We start from the raw sequence: 22,267 nt of genomic DNA on the forward strand, positions 1-22,267 counted from the left end.
TCCGGCTAGGCGCAACACGGACTACATTTCCCAGGGTGAACAGCGGCGGGGCCTAGACTCGGCCGCGGCCTGGGGCGGCGAGCCGCTCCACCGCCTGCTCAGGGGAGTGCGAGCTGGCGCGAGGACAGGGCTAAGGACCCGGAATGAGTTTCCGCGCAGTTCCGCTGGGCCGTGCCGGCCTGTACCGGGCCGTGCCGAGCCAGAACTGGCAGGAGTGGGGGCCTGAGTTGGAGGTGCCGGGGACAGGCGCTCGGGGCAGCCCGCGCCTTGCCGAGGTCCCTGCCCCGTCCCGGCCGGCCTGGCTTGTCTTGTCAGTCACTGGGGCGGAGGCAGCGGCTGTAGCGGGGCTGTAGCCGGGCGTTGAGCACAGCGCGGGCCAGGCCGAACGGAAGGGACCTGCCACAGCCCCTCAACTCCACGGACTCTTCGCCCTAGACTAGCGGAGCTGCATCTCCGCGCTTCGTTGGACGCCTCCGTAACCACGAAGGGCTCTCTCTCTCCCGTGACCCTCCAGCCCCATGACCTGTTCATAGCAGCCGAGAGCTCACCCAGGCGGGGGTGTTGTGGGTACAGGCCATCGACCCTGTGACCCCTCAAGAGCCAGGGACTCGGTTTCCCCCGCAGGCCTCCCTCCCCTGTGACTCCCTCCACACAGATTCTGGGGACAGAGCTGTTACCTGCCACTAGGATCCCCGCCTGAGAGCTCCTCACTGACGGCTCCCTCCTCGGAGTCCCCTTCATTGGGTCTCCTAAGAGCACCAATTTTGGTCTCTGGCAAGCCTCCCACCCCCAAACGAGGTGGGGAGGCCTCGGCAGCCATGCCCGCCCTGGGCCCCCCCTCACCCCACCACTCCCTGGGCACCCAAGCCGGGGTCTAGCAGGGGGCCAGCAGCCAAGGGGCTGGGGCAGGAGACAGATCAGGGCCCACCTCCCTGCCAGGGAGGGAGCAAAGATGGAGCGGCGGGAGGAGCAGCCGGGGGCTGCAGGGGCTGGAGCAGCACCAGCCTTGGACTTCACTGTGGAGAACGTGGAGAAGGTATGAGGGCTCTGGGGTGGGCACTCCAGTGACAGAGCAGAAGTTCTGGGGACTGTCACTGATGGCAGAGCTCAGGCCTGGGCTGGGTGCCCGCTGGTATGGTGCCCCCAGAGCACCTGGCATTTGCTCTCTTTCTGGGCAGGCAGTATTGCAGTGCCCTAATGGGCTATTTTTGTCTTTCCTTACAGGCAGGTCCCCTGTGGATAGATACTCTAGGGTCTTGGGATGGTCCCTTCAGGGTGCTGTGACTTAGCCTTCCGTCCAGACTGGCTATGTTCCAGCTCCATGGGAACTGCATGAGCAGTGCAGTAGGAAACTGGGAACCCAGGAGACCTGCAGCTCAGTCTCCTGGAATTATACTGATGCCAAACCATCCTGGACCTGGTTTTGTTGAGCCAAGGGCTCAGAAAATAATCTGGAACTAAAACAATCTGGGTTGTTTTGACTCTTTGGAGAAGGGTCCTTCCTTTATTGGATGGAAGCCAGACCAGTCCTGAGCAGGCAGGCCTGGGGCTGTCTCCCTTTGTTTTGTGCTGAGTCCAAGGGTCCTGGCCCTGCTGGGAGCCTTACAGGGCTCCTCCCTACTCGCCTGCCCACATAGCTCCCTGCCATGGCCCTCCCAGGCTCCCCGACTGCCCAGCCCATCTTTCTGAACTGCCTCTTTGGTTCTTTTCTGTATCTGCTCCCTACAACTTGAAATGCAGGAATGCATGCACCCTGGGATGAATGGGGAGATGGGGCTCCCTTACTTGAAAGCAGGGAATGATGTTCACTTGTTATCCTTAACCCCCGTTTGCCATAACAAACAATGAGGATGCATCTCTTCTGCCTGCTTTGGCGTCCCTGAGGGGCCAAACAAGGGCCAATGGCCATAACTGGCTGTCAGGGGTACAAATAGAGCTAAGCTTACTTGGATGGAGCCTGCTTAGGGGTCAGGGTCCTGGCCATACTCTTCCGCCCCTTGGAGCAGGGCAGTGTTGGCATGGTGGCGCACTGTTCCATGTGCTATTGGGAGATAAATCTCACTGTTTTCTTACTTCATAAAGTCCCGTTGGAATTGAGACCCCGGGGATTCTGCTAGTGGAGAGCACTAAGCTAGGTGTTTGCCAGGGCTGCAGCTATGGCCAAGGCTTCTCTGGATCAATTGGTTGGACATGTGCCCTCTGAGGAGTGTTCTCACCCTCTCCTCCAGCATGTCTGCCCCAGGGCTGCCTGGCAAAAGTCTTAGTCCTGCTCTGATTTCACACTGGCTTTGGTGCCAGCATCTGGACTGACCTAGGGATGATCCTGGGGGAGCTGAAAGGAGCTGTTGGAGTTGATGGGAGCAGCTGTGCCTGGGAGGGTCAAGTCCCCTCAAGCTGTTCCATGCCCTTCTCAGACTTAGCTTCATCCCTGTGAAGCTGTTCCTTCCACCTGGGCCTTGCCCTCAAGTGCCTCCCCTTTGGGGAGATCAGCCTCCTCTTTTTTGCTTTCCTGTGGAGATTCCCTCTCTGAACCCATAATGTTTTGCTGTAAGGAGAAGAGGATATGGTAGAGCATGGGCAAGGTTCAGGCTCTCAAGATATCAGCAGGACCCCAGGCCCAGGAAACACTGCAGAGCGCTGAGCTCTCCCTGCTCAGCCCCCCAGTCAGGGAGAGGGAGCAGCCTTGCAGGACCAAGTCACGCCTCTGTTCTGGGCTCTGGCAGGATCCAGAGTGGCCAGCACCTGCTCAGTCCTGTGCTGTCCTGCAGGCGCTGCACCAGCTCTACTATGATCCCAACATTGAGAATAAGAACCTGGCTCAGAAGTGGCTGATGCAGGCCCAGGTCTCCCCACAGGCCTGGCACTTCAGCTGGCAGCTACTGCAGCCCGACAAGGTACCAGAGATCCAGTACTTTGGGGCCAGTGCTCTTCACATCAAGATCTCTCGCTACTGGAGTGACATCCCCACTGACCAGTATGAAAGCCTAAAGGCACAGCTCTTCACCCAGATCACCCGCTTTGCCAGTGGCTCCAAGATTGTACTGACTCGGCTGTGCGTGGCACTGGCCTCACTGGCTCTCAGCATGATGCCTGACGCTTGGCCATGTGCTGTGGCAGATATGGTACGACTCTTCCAGGCTGAGGACTCACCAGTGGATGGGCAGGGCCGCTGCCTAGCCCTGTTAGAGCTGCTGACAGTGCTGCCTGAGGAGTTCCAGACCAGTCGCCTACCCCAGTACCGCAAAGGCCTGGTGCGGACCAGCCTGGCGGTGGAATGTGGGGCTGTCTTCCCGCTGCTGGAGCAGCTGCTACAGCAGCCCAGCTCACCCAGCTGTGTGCGTCAGAAGGTGCTCAAGTGTTTCTCCAGCTGGGTGCAGCTGGAGGTGCCGCTGCAGGACTGTGAGGCGCTCATTCAGGCTGCCTTTGCTGCTCTGCAGGACTCGGAGCTCTTCGACAGCAGTGTGGAGGCCATTGTGAATGCCATCTCACAGCCTGATGCCCAGAGGTGAGCTAGTACCCACTCACCCAGAAGACAACCTCTTTGGCCAGCCACACATCCATCCATCCATCTGTTCAATAAACATTAATTGAATGTGTACTGATACCTGGTCCTATGCTGGAGATACAGCAAGGAACCAAAGAAGACATGGTCCCTGTCCTCATGGTTCAGACAGGGAGGCAGACATTAAACAACTAATTATCAGTTATTCAATTAAAATATTTGACTCTCTTTTCCTTCTCTCAACTAGTCACCAAGTCCTGGCTGTTCCCCTCCTGACCATATTGCAAATCTATTTTTTTCCATTTCCATTGCTACCACCTTAGTCCAAGCTGTCATCATCTCTCTCCCCAGATTACTGTAGAGCTTGTCCTCACTCTTGTACCCTTCATTGTCCCAGCAGCCACAGTGATCTTTTGAAAATGGGGATCTAATCTTTCTGATCAGAAGCTTTCAGTGGCTTCTCAATGCTCTTAGGTTAAAGCTCAGAATCCTTAATGTGACTCATAATGGTGCTGCACAGTATGGCATCACTGGCCTCATCTCATGCTACTCTCCTTGCTCTCTACACGCTCACACAGTTTCTTTAATTCCTTGAATGTCCCATGTTCCTTTCAGCCTCTGGCTCATTACATATACTTGACACCTTGCCTCAGCTTAAACTTCATTTCCATAGGGAAGTCCTCCATGGATTCTTAAGGCTAAGTTTGATCTTCTCTCTTATATTACCTCAGAGCTCCCAGTATTTTTCCTTCTTAGCCCATAACATGATTTCTCTCACCTCTGTGAGGACAGGGACTCTGTCATTTTACTTTGTCGCATTGTGCTCGGCACATGGTAGCATTTGATATTTTGTGAATGGAGGAAAGTAGGAGTTGCCTGAGTTGGGAGGGGTGGGGCTGGAAGGGATTGGGGGAGGAAGGTGGATTGTTCTAGGCTTTAGGAACCACAGCATGTGCAAAGACTTGTGGGCAGCATCATGATATATTCAAGGGCCCTAAAGAAGTGAGTGTAGTGAAGTGTTTGGCAAATGTTCATTGAGCATGTCCTGTTTTGGGCCCTGTGCTGAGCTCTGGGAGCACAGAGACAAATGCTTTAGCTTCAGTCTCAGGAGCTCACAGTCTAGTGGACACATGAGTGGCAAGTACAATCAACATGATGAATCCTCTGATGGAGAACGCAGGGGCCTTGAAGAACCCAGAGGAGGCTTTCACTGAGTCTGAGGGCTGTGAAAGGATTCGCAGAGGAAGTGACAACCCAGCTGTGTAAGAGTTAGCCAGATGGAAGTGATGGATGGGGAGGACATTCCAGCCCAAGCAAGGGAAGGGTGAAAGCCCAGAGGGTCTGGTGATCTGTAAATCATTAGATGTGATTAGACAGCAAGATTTAAGGGCCAGAGGTATAGGAGACCTGGGCCCAGATCATGCAGGACCTTGGCCAAGTTTAAGATTTTGATCTTCATCCTGAAGACGATATAAAGATATTAAAGGATTATAAGCAGAGAAAATGGCCTACTGAGACTTTTGGTATGAGCTGGATTAGAAGAAGTGAGACTGGAGGTCCTGATGCTGACATTTCAGAGATGGGGCTTTGGGACCTTTGGCAGAATTGGAAGGGAAAACCATTGAAAGAGACTTCATGGAAGAGTGGCTGATGACTCAAGCCTTGGCATTAGTCACATCTAAGTTTGAATCCCAGATGGTTCACTTATTAGATCTGAAATCTTGGATCAGCCATTCCTAAGGCTCCGTTTCCTCATCAATAAAATGGGGATGATCATATCAACCCCACAGAGTTGAAAAGGTTTAAACAGGATAATGTGCACAAGTCCTGCCCCTGGTGTTCGGTAGAGAATATTTTGACTCCTTGAGTAATGGGAGTTCTTTTGTGGTCTCTGCTAGGGTTGGGATGGTCAGTAGCATGCATTTGTACCTTTGGGTTATTGATACGTTACATGTTTTAAAATGGGAACTGTGTGTATATGTTCTACCTTTATACTTTATGTGATCAGTTAATGGTAATTGTTTATTTATTTATTTTGAGACAGAGTCTCACTCTGTCACCCAGGCTGGTGTGCAGTGGCACAATCTCGGCTCACTGCAACCTCCGCCTCCCGGGTTCAAGCGATTCTCTTGCCTCAGCCTCCAGAATAGCTGGGATTACAGGCGTGCATCACCACGCCCAGCTAATTTTTGTATTTTTAGTAGAAACGGGGTTTTGCCATGTTGGTCAGGCTGGTCTTGAACTCCTAACCTCAGGTGATCCATCTGCCTCCGCCTCCCAAAGTGCTGGGATTACAGGTATGAGCCACCATGCCTGGCCAACTGTTCATTTTTTTAAAGAGAAACATAGTTACTATTAAATGGATTAAGGCTGTTTACTTTTAGTACTGGTCATAAGAAGTAGAACTGGAATCATGCAATAGAAAGTGGGCCTAGTTGTTCAGTGGCTAAATTTGAAAAGGAGTTGGTTTCCTATATATATATGTGTGTGTATACATACATATATTTATATGTATATGATACACACACACACATAGATAATGTGCTTAATCACTGCCTTTTGAAACTTTAAATAAAATATTGGGTTGATTTTAAAAAATAAAAGATTGTTTCGGTATGAGGATTAAATAAGAGAATGTGAAGCTTTTAGCATGGTTCCTATATACTCTGTAAACGGCAGTTGCCAGTATTTGGTTTCATTATTGTGTTGGGAGTTATTATGATACTTATCCCCTGGCTTCCCAGGCTTTCCAGCTTAAGGTGGATACCTAATCCCAGATCTCTTGGCAGCCTGAAGCTCAAGTGCTGGGTGGGCTCTGACAGTTGGTGACTAAGGGAAACAGATCAGGGCAAGTGTGTGGGTGATGTGAGGTGTCCTTGGATACACCCAAGTTTACCCGCCCAGCCAGTCTCAAGGGCTTTGGCAGGTAATTGATGCCCCTTCTCCTCTGAACGAATGAGCGAGCAAGGAGCCAGTGAGGTAACCCACAGCCTCCTTGGTGCCCATTGGCTGCAGCCCCTTGGTTGCTTAGCAACTCTCCCCATTTTCTCAGCTCTGCTCCTGAAGCAAAGCTCTAATTGCAGGTCTGGGCTGAGCTCCGTGTGAGCAGCAGCAGAGGAGTCCCAGCAGCCCTGCCTCGGCTACTTGAACTGACCGATTGGAGCCAGGCCTCTTGAACCCAGCCTCAGCTGTGGTCATAAAGACATCCTCCCTGTCTCCTTCCCCCAAACCTAGAAACCTCTGGGACCTCAGACTTGTTCTTCTGTCCACTCACAGGTCGCAGACACAGGTGCTCAGGTGGTAGGAAATTTATGCAAGAACTTCTTCCCATGGGTGAGCTGCATCCAGCCCAGAATCCGAGCCTGGCCCTTGCTCTCCCCAGTCTAATTTCCCAGCTTTGGCTTGTGAAAGTCACCTTCAGTGACTTTGACTCCTGGGTCATCCAGGCACGCCTTCCCCAGGTGTCCTGACATTGGCCCTCCCCTTGGCTGAGCTTGCACTCAAGTCACCCTTTTCCTGCCCCTCCACAGCTGCTGCTGCTTCCTGGCTCTCTCCTTTGAAATGTATTTTTTTTTCCTGAACTATGTTTTTAATGCTGGAAAAGCTTGTCCTTGGGAGTTGGGGATGGAGGGAAAGTGAATTAGGCAGGCTCTTGGGGGCTCCCATCAGTTAGGACTGGAGATATGGGCTGAGACGTACATAAATCCTTTGGGGAAATTCTGGTTGGGCCCTGAAAGAAAAGCAGACCTGTAGCAGTTTAAGGGGCAGTTTCAACCTGGATTCTGCTTCTAAGTTGTTGTATGACCTTGAGTGATATGATACTCTGAGCTCTTTGAGGCTGTATTATCCTTGATTTGTCCTATTTTGAGGCTCAGATGAGACAAATGAAGAACATTTGCCGAGTACCCTGCCATCTGCATGAACTTTGGCAGGTGGAGGAAGGAGTCTTAGAATACAGTGGGGAGCTATGGGAGTAGAGCGCTACCTCCTGCACCCATCTCAGCTGCTGAGGAGCTTGTGGGCCATAGCCTTGGCCCTGCCCCTTCTCTTTGTGCCAGAGTCTGGCCTGAAAATGCCCATTGTCTGGTGGTGCAGCCCGTGTCAGGGTCAGGAGACTGAAGCTATCCCGGCTGTCTCCAGGCAGCACCCCCTGGGGCTGTCTCTGGGCTGGGGATATCCTGGCATGGGTGACTTTTCCTACCAGAATGGGGATGTGGAGAAGGAGGCCGATGTCCCTAGGCTGGTTGCCTCTTTTTGTCCTTCTCATCCTCCCACCAAGGATATGAGGCTACTGCCTAGCAACCTGCTTGGGGCAAGTCCAGATAGAACTCCCTCTGGGATCCTCAGTCCCCAACTCCCTAACATAGATTGCTATGGTGACACTATGATTGACAACAGAGGGGTCCCAAGCATCTGATCCCCGCTATTAGAGTGTGGCTTCCTCTGCTTAGTCTCATCTCCACAGACCAAGGTGCTGGAGAGGGATCCAGTGGGCTGAGCCAGGCTTCTCTCAGTCCCCTTTGTATACTGGGCTGTCTGTCCTTCTCCTTTAGAGATCATTGTGTTTCAGGGCTGTGATCTGGACCCTCTTATTTTTTTCTCATTCAACACTTTCTCCTTGGGCAATTCTCATCTATTCCCATAACTTCAATTACCAGCTGTTAGCTGATGACTCTCAAATCTATGGCTTTTGCTCTAACCTCTATGCTGGGCTTCAGGCTTTTATATCCAACTCTTTCTAGATGCTTCTGCCTGCATAACCTATCAGGTGTCTCTGAATCAACTTGTCTAAGACTGAGCTTATCACCTTCCACCTCCCATTAAAGGTGTTACTGTTCCCCGCTACTCACCCCACAGGTCTCAGTAAATAGCTCCACCGTCTACTTAGTTGTTTAGCCAGTGACCTGAGAGGTGTCTTTATTCTTCTCCTTCCTCATATCCAGTCAGTCATCAAGTCCTGTCTGTTTTGCCTCTTAGCTCTCTCTGAGTTCATTGTCTACTTCTCTTCCTCCCTGCTGCCACCACACTCCTCAAGAGTTGGGATTTGGTGGTAGAGGGTGGAGCGGATGGCAGGGATTGATGCTCTCATGAGCTGTTGCTGCCTTCCAAAGTCTTTTTTTTTTTTTTAAATCAGGGCTTATGAGCCTGTGTTTACTCTTCTGTATCCCACTCTTGTTCAATCACCCCTGACAGACTGTATTAGTTTCCTAGGGCTACCATAACATAGTACCACAAACTAGGTGGCTTTAAAGCCAAACAGAAATTAACTGTCTCACAATTGTGAAGGATAGAAGTCTGAAATCAAGGTGTTGGCAAGGCTGTGCTCCCTCTGAAACCTGTAGGAGACTCCGTCCTTGCCTCTTCCTAGCTCTGTGGTTTGCTGGCGGTCTTCAGTGTTCCCTGGCTTCCAGCTGGATCACTCCACTCTCTACTTTCATCCTCACGTGGCATTCTCCCTGTATGTCTCTGTCTTCACATAGATATCTTCTTATAAGGACACCAGTCATATTGGAGTTCAGGTCCATCCTACTCCAGTATAACCTCATCTGCAATTATCTTATTTCCAAATAAGATCACATTTTGAGGTACTGGGGATTAAGATTTATCAAAAAATGTATCTTTTTGTGGGGACTTAATTTGACCCATGACAGTCTGCCCTCTGGTGCCCCAAACTTCATGTTATCCCCACATGCAAAATATATTCACTTCATCTCAATCTCCCCAAAAGTTGTAACCTAGCTGGATGTGGTGGCTCCACCTGTAATCCCAGCTACTCTGGAGGCTGAGCAGGAGGCTGAGTCTCTTGAGCTCAGGAGTTCGAGACCAGCCTGGGTAACACAGCAAAACCCCATCTCAAAAAAAAAAAAAAAAAAAAAATCTTAACCCATTCCGGAATCAGCTCTCAGTCCAACTGGAGAACACAATTCAACCCATAATGCTGACCTTCTCATACGTCCTTCTCAGAGTTCTTCTGGGGGTCCCTGATCTAAGGTTCTTCCCAACATTGGGAACATCAAATCTGCCATGTAGACCCTGACCCTTTTTTTGCTTAGGATTTGATAAGGGAAGGGGAGCTTTGATGGAAGACAAGGAGATTATGCCTTTCTCTTAAAGCCAGTGTGGGGTTGAGCAGAGAGCTCTGATGGATTTTCTCACCTCATGCCTCTAGGTACGTGAACACACTCCTGAAACTCATCCCGCTGGTGCTGGGTCTGCAGGAACAACTGCGGCAGGCAGTGCAGAATGGGGACATGGAGACCTCCCATGGCATCTGTCGCATCGCTGTGGCCCTGGGCGAGAACCACTCCCGGTAAAGGGTGGAGCAGCTTGGGGTGGGATAGTAGGGCCCTCTAAGAAATGGGGTTCTGGAAGTCCCTGGAAAGGTAGAATGACCTGACTCTCTCCCCAGGGCCTTGCTGGACCAAGTAGAGCACTGGCAGAGTTTCCTGGCACTCGTCAACATGATTATGTTCTGCACAGGCATCCCTGGCCACTATCCTGTCAATGAGACCACCAGCTCCCTAACCCTCACCTTCTGGTACACACTGCAGGTGTGTCTGTGTGACCTCCAGTAGGACTGGGCTGTGGTGGAAGAAGGTGGATCATGGGCTTCTATGACTGCTGGTGAGGTGGCTAATTCTCTTCCCTGGCTCTCTCAGGATGATATTCTATCCTTTGAGGCAGAGAAGCAGGCTGTATACCAGCAGGTGTACCGGCCAGTCTACTTCCAGCTGGTGGATGTGCTTCTGCACAAGGCCCAGTTCCCTTCTGATGAGGAATATGGATTCTGGTCCTCAGACGAGAAGGAGCAGTTCCGAATTTACAGGTGATGGTAGCAGGCCAACTCCTCTAAAATGGAGTCCAGAAATAATGAAGGCAATGAGGGAAGGGGCCCAAGTCCAGGCTTTCTGAATTTTGGTGCTCCTTTCTGTTTTCTAGGTATTGTTGCAGAGTTGTGGGGGTACTGGGGTAGGCTCCTGGGCTTGGGGGCAGGATCCAGGGTCAGGATCCAGGCAGTATAAAAGGCCTTCATCTGCTTCTCAGGGTGGACATCTCAGACACGCTCATGTATGTCTATGAGATGTTGGGGGCCGAGCTGCTCAGCAACCTCTATGACAAGCTGGGTCGTTTGCTCACCAGCTCAGAGGAGCCCTACTCCTGGCAGGTACCTCCCAAGCCTGATTCCCTCAGCCTTCCCAGACCTGTCACACCCTCCTCCTCATCCAAGCCAGTGGCACCCTCTTTCCCCAGCACACAGAGGCCCTCCTCTACGGCTTCCAATCCATCGCAGAGACCATTGACGTCAACTATTCTGATGTGGTGCCTGGGCTCATTGGCCTCATCCCACGGATCAGCATCAGCAACGTGCAGCTGGCAGACACTGTCATGTTCACCATTGGTGAGACCTGGCACACACCCATGACCATATTCCCAGAGCCACAGCACCCAACCCTGGCCACAGCCAGCATGCTGGATCCTATCCAGAATGGGAGAGCCACATGCCTACACACAATCAGTGTTGTAACAAACTGACTGTCCTGGCAGGTCTAGGGGGTCCATCTGATGGCACACTGAGCTGCAATTCAGTGAGGCTAGTTTACCGTCAGTGAAACAGCAGTACTGGGCCTCTGTTGAGTAACCCCTTCCTGCTTCTCAGCTGTAAGGCTCATGTTTGAGCATGCACATGCATATGTCCTCTGAATGGGGCAGTACTCTGTGCTGGGGCTGCAACTTGACCCTGCCAGGAACTCTGCTTGCCTCAGAGACATGGTACAAAGCCAGCCTGGCCTGCCTCAAAGATCCTCCTGTCTCCCTCCTTCCTCCAGGAGCTCTGTCTGAATGGCTGGCTGACCACCCCGTCATGATCAACAGTGTTCTGCCCTTGGTACTGCATGCCCTAGGCAATCCTGAGCTGTCTGTCTCTTCTGTGTCCACCCTCAAGAAGATCTGCCGAGAGTGCAAGTATGACCTGCCTCCCTATGCTGCCAACATTGTGGCTGTGTCCCAGGTATGCAGGGGCCCTGGATGGTGCTGGGCCTCAGAGCACACTCTGCACTGTGCTGATACTACATTCCTTCTTTCTCCCCTCAGGATGTGCTGATGAAACAGATCCACAAGGTGCGGCTCAAAAGTTTCTAGGGGTCTCCTTGGAGGTCTTGTGGGAATCACTTATCCCTGAAATCCTGTTTTTTGGCCTTCCCCTTCCTCTTATCCCTTATTCTCTGTTTTTCTTCTCCCAAGAGGCTCATTTTCCTTCCTACCCCACAACTAGATGTGGCCAGGACTGACCATCCATGTTCTGCCCCACAGACAAGCCAGTGCATGTGGCTGATGCAGGCGCTGGGCTTCCTGCTGTCAGCTCTTCAAGTGGAGGAGATCCTTAAGAACCTGCACTCGCTTATCTCACCCTATATCCAGCAACTGGAGAAGCTGGCAGAGGAGATAGTGAGTGAGCTCTGGGGGCCAGGGAGCGGTACTGAGATGCTGTGGCTGATGAGGGGTGAGGTTGGAGCTGGCCCTCAGAGCTGAGGCTCAGTGATCTGGGGACCAAACTGGGGCTGGGAGATCTGGAGCTTGGTTTGCTTCTCCCTGCAGCCCAATCCCTCCAACAAGCTGGCCATTGTTCACATCTTGGGGCTTCTCTCCAACCTCTTCACCACACTGGACATCAGTCATCATGAGGATGATCATGAAGGCCCTGAGCTTCGGAAGCTGCCAGTGCCACAGGGACCCAACCCCGTGGGTGACATTTGCCCACGGCAAAGACATTTGTCTTTGCCATCCCCCCAACCCCCACCTGTGGGAATGTCATTGTCACTCTTCAATTCTGTGGGTAATGTTGTCATTGTTCTCCCTGCCCCGTGGGCGTGATATATTTGGTCCTCTGACTCCATGAATGACCTATAATTGCCTCACTCTGTAGGCAGCAATGTCATTATCTCACTCAGCTCTGTGTGTGATGTTGTCCTTGTCCCCAGCCCAATTAGGGTGATGTCATTGAGATTCCTCAGCCCCATGAGGGACATTGACGTTATATCCTTCAACCCTTAAGTGATTTTATGGGCCCCTGTTCAACCCCTAGCTCTGTAGGGCCTTCTACTTCAACATTTACTGTCCCCTGTGGGCACTAAGGATGCTCATTACCTCCTCCGCATGTAATAGTTCTGGCCTTCAAGTTGCTCCCAGTGTAGAGGAAATTCAGGTTGCTCAAATTGTCACAAAGCAGTGTGATAAGTCCTGTGGTAAGCTTGGGCATAGGTTTTGGGGTGACCACTTACAAGCTGCTTGATCTGGGGCAAGCCTCAGCTTCCCATTAAAAACTATGAACATTGAAATGTCTGGCTTACTCAATTCATAGAACTGTGCTGGATAGTAGATGTGGTCTTAAGTGAAGGTAGTTTGCATATTGTAAAGTTCTTTACAAATATAAGGGACTGCTTTAGTCGTTGTTCCCAGAACTCCCTCCCAGATTTCTCCAGGAGAAAAGGAAGCCATAGGCATCCTGGCCTCTCTGCTTAACTCCCCAACCCAGTTTCAGTTAGCCTCTTGGCTTTAGACCACCCCTGGGCCACTGTCATCCCACAGAGCTGCTTCTTTACATGGTAGTCATCATCCTGCCTTTCCTCACCTCCCAGGACCTCAGTCTGCTCTCTGCTCCTCCATAAGCTGGGAGAGCAGCTTAAGCCTGCATCTGTGCATTCCTTGGGGCTCCCTACCTCAAGCCTATTTGGAGGAGATAGCATCTCCACTTCTTCAGAGGCTAGCCCATAGCCTTGGTTTTACAGAGCAGAGATAGGGAGAGATTTTTTTTTAAGTTTACAAAGTTTTTGTAACCTTATGAAGCACTTGTGATATCTCTGCTTTGCAGTTTGAGGCTTCCTTTGAGATGATCCCTAGAATTCAGGAAATACTCCTTTTTCATTCATGAGAGAGTTCAGCAAACCACTTCTTCCCCCAGGGGTCCCATGCCCTGGGTCCTCAATGTGTGTTCTGGGGTAATAGGTCTGAACTGCTCCCCTCCTCCCTGCCACCAAGTCCTCCTCAAGTGGGTCACAGTGATGGATAGCAGAAGCGCCTCACTTCTTCCTGTGCCTTCAGGTGGTGGTGGTGCTGCAGCAGGTCTTCCAGCTTATCCAGAAGGTGCTGAGCAAATGGTTGAATGATGCCCAGGTTGTGGAGGTGAGCCCTGACCCTTGCCCTCCGCTCCCATAGTGACTGCTCAGAGGTGTAGCAGGGTAAGATGTTACTGCCACACTTCAGCTTACAATGGTTTGGAGAAAACAAGGGAGGTGAATCCTGCCCCATAGAGATAAGGAATCTTTTGGGAAGACATTTAGAACTCCCCAATATCATGAGAAGTGCTTAACGTAAGGACTCTAATATTAGGGTCGAGTGACAGTCAGGCATCTGTTTTAGCACCAAAGACCTGCCTTTGGTCCCTTTTCAATTCAGGTTTTTGTTGCTGTTGCTGCTCCCTGAGAGGAAATGTTAGAGATGTAAGTCGCAGGAGTTAAGTTCCACAGTTACATCCTGTGCCCCTCAGTGAAGGGCCTTTGCCCCCTGCCTTTCAGGGTGAGGGTCAGACTTGCTTACCTTCCTTGGTTTGCAGGGCCAGGCAAGGCTTATAGGTAAGGGCCCAATCGTAGGCCCCCTCTGTGCAGGGCTTCAGCGCTGTTCCAGCCAGTCATGACCTGCTGACCAGGGCCCCTTTGCTTTCTTCCCAAGGCGGTGTGCGCTATCTTTGAGAAGTCTGTTAAGACGCTGCTGGATGACTTTGCCCCCATGGTGCCACAGCTGTGTGAGATGCTGGGTCGGATGTACAGCACCATCCCCCAGGCCTCTGCTCTTGACCTCACTCGACAGGTGGGCCTTCTGGTTGGGGCAGAGATCCTGACCCTGGGTGGGGGTGGGTCAGATGGCTGCCGTGGCTGGGGTCCCCACTTGCATTCCAGGGATATTGCCATGTCCTGGTGAGACTGGGTCTCAGCTGACCAGCATTCCCTGCTTTCTCGTAGCTGGTCCACATCTTTGCTCATGAGCCTGCCCACTTTCCCCCAATTGAGGCCCTCTTCCTGCTCGTCACCTCCGTCACACTCACTCTCTTCCAGCAAGGTAGGTCCTGACCGGGGTCTCTGCTGCTGCTGCCACTGCCACTGCCTCTGCTTCCCCAAATGGGGAGCCAAAGCTGCCCACTCTGTTCTTCTCTGTCCCCTGAGTCACACGTGGGACTTGATGGGAAACCTGTGAGATCAAGCACAACACCTTATAAATAGTTGAAACTTTAGGTTGAAGTGGATAAGAGGGTGAATGATGTCTTCTGCTGGCCTGCTGGGCTCAGGGCCAGTCTGGATATGGAAGAAGGAAGTGGGGGTGGGAGGTGGGCAGAGGCTCTGAGGGGCTTGGGGCACTAGGCTGGCTCCTTTACTTTGGGATATAATGAAAAGTGGAAAGAGCACGGGCTTTTGAAGTCAGCTAGACCTAGATTCTAAGTTCATCACCACCAACTAGTTGTGTGTCCTTGGGCAAGTCACTTACCTTTGCTGGGCCTTCATTTCCATATCTGTGAAACGGAGATAACATATACTTGAAATGATTGTTTACAGGTATTAAAGTCACATCTTCTGGGCCCTTGGCTCAGGGGCTTTTGCACAGTGAAGTACTCAGAGACTGTTGGTTCCTTTCCCTGCATCAAGGCTTAGTACTTTCTAGGCCAGAAGTCAAGTACCTTTGGCTGTGGTCCTAGCCCTCTACTCACTGTGGCCCTTTGCCTGAGAGAGTTGGCAGCAGGGGCTTCATTCAGGCTTCTCGTGTTGTCTAATCCAGGCTTCCAGTTTGGAGAAACAAAAACAAAAAAACAGCACTGCTCAGCTAGCCTCATGAGCCTTGCCTGGATTCATGGTCACAGGTTTGAGGCTCACCAGGGGTCTCGGTTGGTGCCCAGAGTACTCGCAGCTCATATCCTCAGTGCCTGGTCTCATGATCCTGGCCTCTGTTTCTGTGGGCCATGGAGTAGGTCCAAACTGGGGAGAAAACTGAACCAGAAACCTGGTGTGGTCATCCTCAACTCCACCTCTCCCAACTCCCTGTACCCAATCTGGGACAAGCCCCATTGATCCTGACTCCTGATTCTCTCTCGGTTGGTCCACTTCTACCCACCTCCGTGGCCACTGCCTCAGTTTAGGGTCTCACCTGGATTATCAGCAACCTTCTAGTGGGTTTTCTTGGCATCTCCCCTTCTCTCCAATCTGTTCTGCACACTGCAGCTATAATCTTCATAAAAACACAAATCTGAGCATTTGTCATCCCGGGCTTAAAACCCTTTCATTGTTCCCATTGCCCTCAGCTTATTGTTCCATTCCCACCCACATGACAAGGCTCTGGCATGCCTCTAATGTCCTCTCCTGCCAATGTCCTCATGACTCCAACATTTCAGCCACACTGCCTCTTCCTTACCGTGTCCCATTTGATCCCTGTGCCTTGCTCCTCTGACTGGAATGTCCTATGCCCTTTACTGGGTGAACTCTCACTCCTTCATGCCTTAGAAAGGAGGAAGACTGCATCACTTCTCAGAGTAATTTCTCTCTGAGGCAGAATTGGGTGCTTCTAACTGTACTGAAACTGCATCCCATACACACTGCTGACACAGCACTGATCACACACAATAATCAGCTTTCATGTCTGTCTCTCTTACTAGACTTAAGCCCCTCAAGGGTAGGGTTGAGTTTCTTCTCTCTGCATCCCCAGTGCCCAGAATGAGGCCAGAATACAGCAGGCCACAGACACTGTTAAATAAAGGAGGGGGAGGGCTCCCTGCCCTTGGAACCTTTCCTTCTCATTTTCTGGCCCACCTCTAGCAGGGTGGCTGCTGAATATCAAACCTGCATGGTGCACACTGGGCCTCACTTTCTAGGACTTAAATAACTCAGGGTTCAGATACCAAAGGGACAGACTTTATTGGTGACTCTTCATAGCCTAGAGAAGGAAGCAGGGCAGAGATTATCTGCTTTACAGATGGGGAAACTGAGCATTTGTGGCTTGCGCAAGATCACACAGCTACTTAGTGGTGTCTTAGGCAGATGGTTTTGTACCACATCCTCCTGAGAGTGGAGAAGCCTGGGTAGGAGCTCCAGGTGCATGCCATATTCTTGCCTCAGGAATGATCAGAACTGGAGGCAGCAGTGTCCAACATCATATACGTTGGGCTTGTTGGTTGTCTCGCTGGACAGGATGGCTCCCATACCTGTTATGCCATCCCAATCTTAGCCATTCCTTCCTCGGGCTCTGCCTTCCCACTGGACCATAGGATGACATGTTTCTTGTTTCCCTGTTTCTTGGCATGTCCAGATGATGGGAACTAGTCCTCAGCCCTGAGCTTGGCTCTCTGCAGAGTCCATGTCCATGTGGAGGAGGTTTGCTGGGGTGGGGCTCTTGTTTTTGGCCTTATGATACTGTTTCCTCCTCTGGGCCCTGCCAGTGACTTGCCAGGCCATCTCCAGAGCATGCTGGGCACTGCCCTACCTAAGCAAGAGTCCTGTGGTTTAAGTGGACTGAATAGATTATTTTCCTTTGCCAGACCAAGAGCCCTAAGGCCATTGAAGTGAGGTGGCACTTACTCAGGCTCTGATGCCCTGGCCTTTCTAGGGCCCTCAGATAAACCTCAAAAGGAGATACCAAGGACTGACTCCCCCACCCCCCCACCGCCATCCCAGCTTTCCTCTTCAATGACTGGCTGATGGGAGGTATGTGCTAGGAGCAGTGTAGGGCTACCCCAACCTGCCAGAGGCCACAGTAAGTGTGGTGGCCGTTTCTTCAGCTATATGGAGTCCAGAATTGCTCAAGTACCAAGGGAACATGAGGGGATGGCCTGAGGAGGAGTGGGGAGTAGGCGGAAGGCCCCTTGGAGGGAGCTGGGGCAGGCCCGTCCTTCACTTTGCCGTCTCTTTCTGTTGGGCTTCTCCCAGTTCATGGTTTTTGTATGTTTTGTTTCTTTATCTTGCTTCCTGCTGCTCATGTGCCCCCACGCTGTCTCCCTGCAGGCTCTCAGTCCCACATAACTATATGAGGTTGAGTTGCTGTTTGTATAATTTTTTCTTAAGTTCCATCTTTATTATATTTTAGGGCCCAGGGATCATCCTGATATTGTTGATTCATTTATGCAACTCCTGGCACAGGTGTGTTTTAGTTTTATTCATTCACGTTCTGTTCTCTCTCTTTCTCTTTCTCTTATGTTGAAATTCAATTTAAGCCTATTTTTAGCTTTCTGTTGACAAATTTTTTTTCTGTTCAGTTGAATAGAGTTTCTTCATCTGTTTCCGTGGAAGTTGACAACCCAACATCCTCCTTTAGTGCCCCTATGCCTCACTAGCTCAGTCTTCTACAAAGACCAGGGAGAGGCTGATCCCAAACGGAGGGAGCTGGGCTGGCATCGGGTGGGGAATGGGAAAGGGAGGGGGTGGTGACTGCGCCCAGCAGCTTCTTGTTGCCCAAGAAGTTCACGTGTAGGGCTGGAGTTGAAGGGTCTGGGGTACACTGTCCCCGTGCTCCTGCCGGGAACTGCCTGCCTCAGTGCCCCCAGCCTGCTCCTGAGAGGTAGGCTGGGAGCAGCTCCAAAGCGAGGGGCTGAAGAGGAATGTGCGCGGTGGAGCCCAGAGTTGGGCTGTTGGAGAGGTTGAGCTGCTGCTAGGAGGTGGAGTGCAGGCTCCATGCTAGGATGTGTTTGCATTTTGTATGTGTTTCAGTGTGTGAGACCTTATTTTGTATGTTTTGAGTTTGGTTTGGGAAGGGAACAGAAATCACCTGTAAGTAGTATGTGAATTGTGTTGGGTGCTGAGATGAATGTGTGCCTTGATGTGTGCTGTATGTTGATGTGTTGTGTGTTTTGTGTTGTTTGTTGATGTGTTAGGCCTTGATGGATTTAGAGCGTGGACGTGTGTTGGAGGTGTGTGTGTTGGGTTGTCGGAGTGTATATTATGGAGGATAGGAGTGTATGTTGTGGCATTGGTATGTCTGTATCAGAGTATGGTTTGGAGATGCATGTTGGGCTGTGGGGGTATGAAGTTAGTGTGATGGGGGCTTCTGTGTGTTAGGGGATCCTAGCACGCAGACCCCCTAACCTGTGAATTGGGGTAAATGGAGTGTTTCTTTGCTTAATCATTCCACAGATATTTATTGAGTGTGTGATACATGCTGTACTTTGCTAGGTACTGAGGATATGATAGCGAGCAAAACCAGGCACAGTTCTTGCTCTCCTGGAACTTACAAGTCTAGTTTCTGGGGGATGGGTAGGGTGGGAGGAGGGAAGAATAGGGAGTGTTCTGGGCCTGGATGGATATGTGTGTGGGTGTTTTCAAAGGTGTATCTTTGATGCGGAGGGTGTCTGAATGTGTATTTGTGGATGGGTATGTTGGAAGAGTGCACAGGGGGACTGTGGGAAGGCTGAGGGTGTAGGTGTGTGGACATGGTTTGGGGATGTGCAGGTGTTTGGTGTATGACTGTGTAATGAGGGTGTGTTCCAGATGGGGAGAGTGTGTGTATGTTAGCGGTGTTAGAGAAGTGTGTAAGGAGGGCATTTCAAGTGATGGTGCATGTGGGGGTGTTTGCACATGAGTAAACATGGGGGGTAGAGGGGATGTGAGGGGCTGGAGGGTAGAGGTCTATGTGGTATGCACTGGGGGCATTGCTGGGGAGCAGCAGTGTTTGAGGATGACTGGAGCTGTGCAGAGCATCTCCTGTGACCTGAGGATGTGCCAGTCATGTCCTGGTACCACTCGGGGCAGGCCATCTGCCCCCTTCACTTCATCTCTTCCCCCTCACCCACAGCAGCACTGGCTCCTTGGTGTGTGTATGGCCGAAGAGGGCCTGGACACAGGGTACCCTGGGTGAAAGATGGGGCTGAGGCTCCAAGGCTCCTGCTGTACTTTTCTTCTTTTTGAGCAGGAGCTGGAGGGTGCCTCAGGAATACAGGAGGGACATGGGAGGAGGGCTGTTGGGCTGAGGGCTCCCTGTCTGGCTGCCATCTCTTCTTCCTGCTACCCTGTTCACAAACTGGGGGTGCTTAACTCCCTCTGTGAATCAACATGAAGTCACTGCTGGCAACCTAGAGCCTGCGAGACATCTGGCCCTGATGGAGGGGGAGGGAAAGGTGTCTGGAACCCAAACTTTCTGCATTATGATCCCCACCCCCAACCTCTCTCACGTACACCTGCGTGTTCATGTACACATACATGTACATAGCATCCCTTGAGCTGTCCTCACCTGACCTACTGAACTCTGAGGTGGTCCGGGTCCCCCAGAGATGGCTGGGTAGCTGGTTTTGGCAGCCTCTACCTGTGAGGTGTGAAGTTGGGGGCTGGGGTGGCAGGTGAGTGGGGGGGATGGTCCTTGGAGCTGGCTGGGGCTGGGCTTACCAGCTCCACCTCCTGCAGGCTCTGAAGCGGAAGCCAGATTTGTTCCTGTGTGAACGATTGGATGTCAAAGCTGTGTTCCAGTGTGGTAAGTGGGGCGAGATGGACAGGTGGGCCTGGGGCTCCCCTAGAAGGATCGTTAAACTGATCTGCCTCTGCCTTTCCCACAGCTGTGCTGGCCCTCAAGTTCCCTGAGGCACCTACTGTCAAGGCCTCCTGTGGCTTCTTTGTGAGTCCCATGCTGAACCCTGACCCACTGCCACCCCAGTGCCCTCCCCTGCCCAGGACTTCAGACAGTAGGGCTGGGGTGTACAGGTCTTGTCCTCAGGGAGAGCTGGGAAGGAGCTGGGCTGATGGGCCTCTCCATCCTCTGCAGACAGAGCTGCTGCCTCGGTGTGGGGAAGTAGAGTCTGTGGGAAAGGTGGTACAGGAAGACGGTCGTATGCTGCTCATAGCAGTGCTGGAGGTGAGACGGAGCAAAGGGGGGTTTGATGGGGGTGAGGGCCCCTCACTGCTGAGGCAGCTGGCCTTCTGGGAGGCTTGAGCCTTTGGTCCCCTAAGCTCTCAGATTCTGTTTCTTCTTCAATTAAATGCCTGAAAGTTGTTAGGATTGCTGTGGGGATCAGCTGGCTCTCAAAAAGCAGCGCTCACTGTGATGTGCAGTTTGGCTTAGGAACTGTCCAGAGGGCAGTTAGGCATTCTTGCTGCAGAAGCGGCGGAAGGGGCAACACCCTGGTGTGCTGAGAACCCCTCTCCCTCAGGCCATTGGGGGCCAGGCCTCCCGCAGCCTCATGGACTGCTTTGCCGATATCCTGTTCGCCCTGAACAAGCACTGCTTCAGCCTCCTGAGCATGTGGATCAAGGAGGCCCTGCAGCCACCTGGTTTCCCCTCTGCCCGCCTCAGCCCTGAACAGAAGGATACCTTCAGCCAGCAGATCCTTCGGTGAGCAGAGCTGGGGTGGGCCTGGGGTCAGGCAGAGAGGGGGCAGTGGTGGTGGCTGGTGCTAACCTGCTCTCCCTTTTCTCCTTCAGCGAGCGAGTGAACAAGAGGCGGGTGAAGGAGATGGTGAAGGAGTTCACACTGCTGTGCCGGGGTCTCCATGGCACAGATTACACAGCTGACTACTGAGGGGTGCCCCCATCCCATCCACCCCTTCTCTTCATCCTTCCCTATTCCCAAAGAGTAAACCTGGACCCTCACTGCTGTCTCTGCCTCCTTTCTGCTGTCACCACCACCTAACTGAAAGCCTGGGTCCAGAAGGCCTGGGGGAAGGATGGGAGGATGCTTGGACCCAGGCCTTGGGAGGGAATGGTGGGAACATCCTCTAGCTCCCAGGTTGGAAGAGATACTACTGTAGCCAAGCCACCTAGGCTGGAGCCCTTCAGAATACTGTCATTGTCCTTGGGGCGGGGTGGTTGCAGTAGTGTCATCAACCCCCCCATCCCCATTAAATTAATCCCAACATGCATGTATGCATACATTTATTTAATCAACACCGCCGAATATTAGGCCCCTAGCTCTGTCCTGCGTCGTTCTGCCCTGAACAAAGGTTGATCTAGTCCATAGCTACCATGGAGAATGGTAGGAAGTGAGGGAAGGCTGCATGGAGAAAGTTTTTGACAGGAATAGTAGGCTTTCTAGGTAGAGGACTTGAGACTTTGGGCTGCAAGTGGGGTAGGGCTGGGTCCGTTTAGGAAGGAAGAAATGGAGTGGAGTTTTGACTTCCGGGAGGGGTTTCTGGTGTGGAGTTATACAACATCGAACTTGCATATGGTTGAGGAGGGCTATAGAAAGGGGCTGAGTGTGTGTGTATTGGGGGGTGGGTGGGTGGCAGGGAGGTGAAGGAGAGAAGATATCTCAGCCGCAGAGGAGAAAAGAGGAAAGTAGGACCTAAGGTTGTCCATATGTCCGCTGCTCCCCGCTTACACAGGACCTCCAGCACAGGATGGTCAGGGATCAATCAGCACCAGGGACAGCTCCTGACCTATTCTTGCTTTTCTCCCTTAGCAGTGTTGCCTCCCTTTCTGTCTCCTCAGCTATAGTTTCACCTAGGCTGCCTCTCAGGTACCCCAGGCTTCTCCTCAGTAAGATCTGAAGAGCAGAATGAGTTCTCCCCACTTTTACCCTTGAGCTTTCAATCTCCTTGTGGGTGATGGGGAACTCGTTACTCCCACATTCATCCCACTCCTTCCCTGTTCAATAGATCCGGGTTTGATGCTGGTTGTGCCACAGAATTAGTGTCTTATTACACAAGTAGTCTCTTTGAACCTCAGTTTCCGTATCTGACAGAGGTATGTAAGGAGGGCATTTCAAGTGATGTTGCATGTGGGGGTGTTTGCATATAAGTAAACATGGGGAGTA

At 51.8% G+C, this 22,267-nt stretch overlaps 1 protein-coding gene across 3 annotated transcripts, besides 2 other annotated features; it reads left to right on the forward strand.

Moving 5' to 3' along the window:
• Positions 98 to 347: a silencer, noted in NCBI's record as "silent region_796". NCBI's record gives its function as "represses an Ori minimal core promoter by ATAC-STARR-seq in GM12878 lymphoblastoid cells {active_cell/tissue: GM12878}" and the evidence as "EXISTENCE:reporter gene assay evidence [ECO:0000049][PMID:35858748]".
• IPO13 (importin 13) lies at positions 302 to 21,374 on the forward strand. Of its 3 annotated transcripts, NM_014652.4 has the most exons (20): positions 302 to 1,036; positions 2,769 to 3,505; positions 9,672 to 9,812; positions 9,912 to 10,053; positions 10,162 to 10,328; positions 10,547 to 10,667; positions 10,754 to 10,901; positions 11,329 to 11,510; positions 11,594 to 11,620; positions 11,813 to 11,947; positions 12,098 to 12,241; positions 13,601 to 13,681; positions 14,228 to 14,365; positions 14,518 to 14,614; positions 17,621 to 17,673; positions 19,927 to 19,993; positions 20,076 to 20,134; positions 20,282 to 20,371; positions 20,667 to 20,848; positions 20,938 to 21,374. In NM_014652.4, exons 1-20 carry the CDS (start codon positions 953 to 955, stop codon positions 21,032 to 21,034), a joined length of 2,892 nt encoding a protein of 963 aa, NP_055467.3. In that variant the 5' UTR covers positions 302 to 952; the 3' UTR covers positions 21,035 to 21,374. The 3 variants fall into 3 exon arrangements, with proteins under 3 accessions (NP_055467.3, XP_024306837.1, XP_024306838.1); XM_024451069.2 differs by lacking the exon at positions 2,769 to 3,505; XM_024451070.2 differs by lacking the exons at positions 302 to 1,036; positions 2,769 to 3,505 and adding an exon at positions 6,815 to 6,835.
• Positions 14,254 to 15,453: an enhancer, noted in NCBI's record as "CDK7 strongly-dependent group 2 enhancer chr1:44426574-44427773 (GRCh37/hg19 assembly coordinates)". NCBI's record gives its function as "activates an origin of replication core promoter dependent on BRD2, BRD4, P300/CBP, MED14 and CDK7 cofactors, with strong dependence on CDK7, by STARR-seq in HCT116 cells {active_cell/tissue: HCT116}" and the evidence as "EXISTENCE:reporter gene assay evidence [ECO:0000049][PMID:35650434]".
• Positions 21,375 to 22,267: the final 893 nt, after the last annotated feature.

Source organism: Homo sapiens, chromosome 1 (genome assembly GCF_000001405.40).
Source record: "Homo sapiens chromosome 1, GRCh38.p14 Primary Assembly".
NCBI classification, from domain to species: domain Eukaryota; kingdom Metazoa; phylum Chordata; class Mammalia; order Primates; family Hominidae; genus Homo; species Homo sapiens.

Coding starts and splice junctions, on each gene's coding strand:
- IPO13 (NM_014652.4), top strand. CDS start 953: ATGGAGCGGCGGGAGGAGCAGCCGGGGGCTGCAGGGGCTGGAGCAGCA. Junction 11,948..12,097: donor AGAAGCTGGCAGAGGAGATA/GTGAGTGAGCTC, acceptor TTCTCCCTGCAG/CCCAATCCCTCCAACAAGCT. Junction 20,849..20,937: donor TTCAGCCAGCAGATCCTTCG/GTGAGCAGAGCT, acceptor TTTCTCCTTCAG/CGAGCGAGTGAACAAGAGGC.